This window comes from Homo sapiens, chromosome 2 (genome assembly GCF_000001405.40).
Source record: "Homo sapiens chromosome 2, GRCh38.p14 Primary Assembly".
Taxonomy (NCBI): domain Eukaryota; kingdom Metazoa; phylum Chordata; class Mammalia; order Primates; family Hominidae; genus Homo; species Homo sapiens.
The window spans coordinates 164,318,221-164,320,754 of NC_000002.12; positions in this window are offsets into that span (position 1 = coordinate 164,318,221).

Sequence of the window (2,534 nt, forward strand, 5' to 3'; positions counted from 1 at the left end):
TTAGAATAAGAGTCCCAACCTTTGTCAAAATAGGCAATTGTAAAATATCTGACTGATGGAGTTTCTCTTAGCTTTGCTGCTTCCCATACCTACAGCTTCTATGGGCCTCAACTACTTCATGTATGAAGTAAGCAGATTTTAATATCAGATGTAGTAGTCATGGCACTCCCCCTCTAACCTGCCTCCTGCTTACCTCACACCTTGCCAAAAATATTAATAAATAGCCTTAATCTATAGAGACACTTTGTTGATCTTGAACTGGGTCTCCGAATACTTATCAGATCAGTCCACTAGGCAGCTACTAACCAACAACCCAACAAATATTCACTAAGTGCAAATCTCTGGCTTTCTTTCCTTCTGTATAAACTTCTTATTTTAGACCAGTTTAATATTTACAGAAATAAAATTACAGACAGTACACAGTGTTCCCATGTAACCCATACCTACTTGTTCCTATTAACATAGTACATTATTATGCTACATTTGTTACAAGTAATGAACAAATATTGATGCATTGTTATTAACTAAAGCCTATAATTAATTCAGAATTCCATGTATTTTATCTAACATCCCTTTTCTGATCTCAGAACCAATCCAGGATACCACATTACGTGTAATTGTCATGTCTTCCTAGGCTCCTCTTGGCTGTGAGAGTTTCTCAGACTTTGTTTGTTTATCATGACCTGGGAAGTTTTGAAGAATGCCGGTCAAGTGTTTGTAGAACAACCCTGAATTAGAATTTGTCTGATGTTTTCCTCATGATTAGACTAGAGTTTGTGTAGGAGGGAGAAAGACCATAGAATTAAGTGTCATTTTAATGACATCATATCAAGAGTAGATATTATCAACATGATTTATTTTTGTTGATATTAACCTTGATTACCTGGCTGAGGTAGTGTTTGTCAGGTTTCTCCACCATAAAATTATTTTTCTTTTACCCTTTCTGCACTCTATTCTTTGAAATGAAATCACTATGCACAGCCCACATTAAAAGACTGGGGAGTTATACTTCACTTCATTGAAGGCAATAATTTAATACATAAATTACTTGAAGTTTTTCTGCATGGGGGATTTGGCTATTCTCCTCCATTTATTTATTTATTTAAGCATTTATATCAGCATAAACTCATGGATATTTATTTTATACTTTGAGTTATAATCTATACTACTTTATTCTGTAGCTGACATTAGATTAACTTTGGCCTTCGGGAACTCTTTCAGCTGGTTTCCATATCCTTTTGATATATACCCATCATTCGGTGGGTTTTGGGTTTTCTGGTTTTTGTTTGTTTTTGTTTTTGTTTTAGCACTTCTTTACTCTCTTTAACTACAAATTTTTCCAGGCTGAATTTGCATGTATCATGTTGCAGTCCTAGAATCAACCTTTCTCCAAAAACTCAGAATCATTTTACTGGAAATTAGTACCAGAAACCAAGATCTGGGTTCTGGGTATACTCACTGATACTGAGGCGTCATCTCCTCTAGTTCCGCTCAATTAAGAGACCAAGAAATATGTGTGTATCTAACCAATGTATACATGAATATCTATAGATATTTCTACGTGTAATGATCTGTATCTACAGGAACCTAACTATAAGTTCACATTGATGTTCTAACTCTAATTCATTACCATATGGATTATTCCAGACTTCTACTTTTCATTATCTGTAACCTCCCATTAAAACAGGCAGAAATCTGGTGACCACTTGTTACTGAATTATTTAATTCCAGTATATATTAATAGTAGTTTCAGAATTGTTGACCTGTATCTGCATAGGAGACAAACGCTTTAGAGTTCACTGAGCCTCTTGGGTATTTATTTTTATGTATTTCATCAATTTTGGGAAGTATTCAGCTATTAATTCTTCAAGTATTCCCTCTGTCTCCTCTCTCCTTCTTCTGGGATTTCCAAAATGTATATGTTGGTCAGCTTGATGGTGTCCCACAGGTTCCTTAGGCTCTGTTCATCTTTCTTAGATATTTTTTTTCTGTTACTCAGACTCAACATTTTCCATCATCCTATCTTCAAGTTCACTGATTCTTTCTTCTGCCTGCACAAATCTGTCTTTGATCCCTCTAGTGAATTATTCATTTCACTTATTGTACTTTTCAGCTCCAGATTTCATCTTGGCATCTTTTTAAGTTTTCTTGTTTTAATTGATTTTTTTTGTTATTTTGATGAATTTAGGGGTACAAGCGCAGTTGTGTAACATGAATATGTTGCATAGTAGTTAATTTTTGGCTTTTAGTGTACCATCATCAGAATAGTACCCAATAGGTGATATTTGATCCCTCTCTGTCTCCCAGCTTCTCATCATTTGGAGTCCCCAATGTCTATTATTCCACTCTGTATAACTGTGTGTGCCCACTGTGTAGCTCTCACTTGTAAGTGAGAACATGTGGTTTTTGACTTTCTGTTTCTGAATTATTTCACTTAGGATAATGGCCTCCAATTCCATCCATGTTCCTGCAAAATACATGATTTCATTCTTTTTTTATGGCTGAGCAGTAGTCCATGGTGTATACATACCACA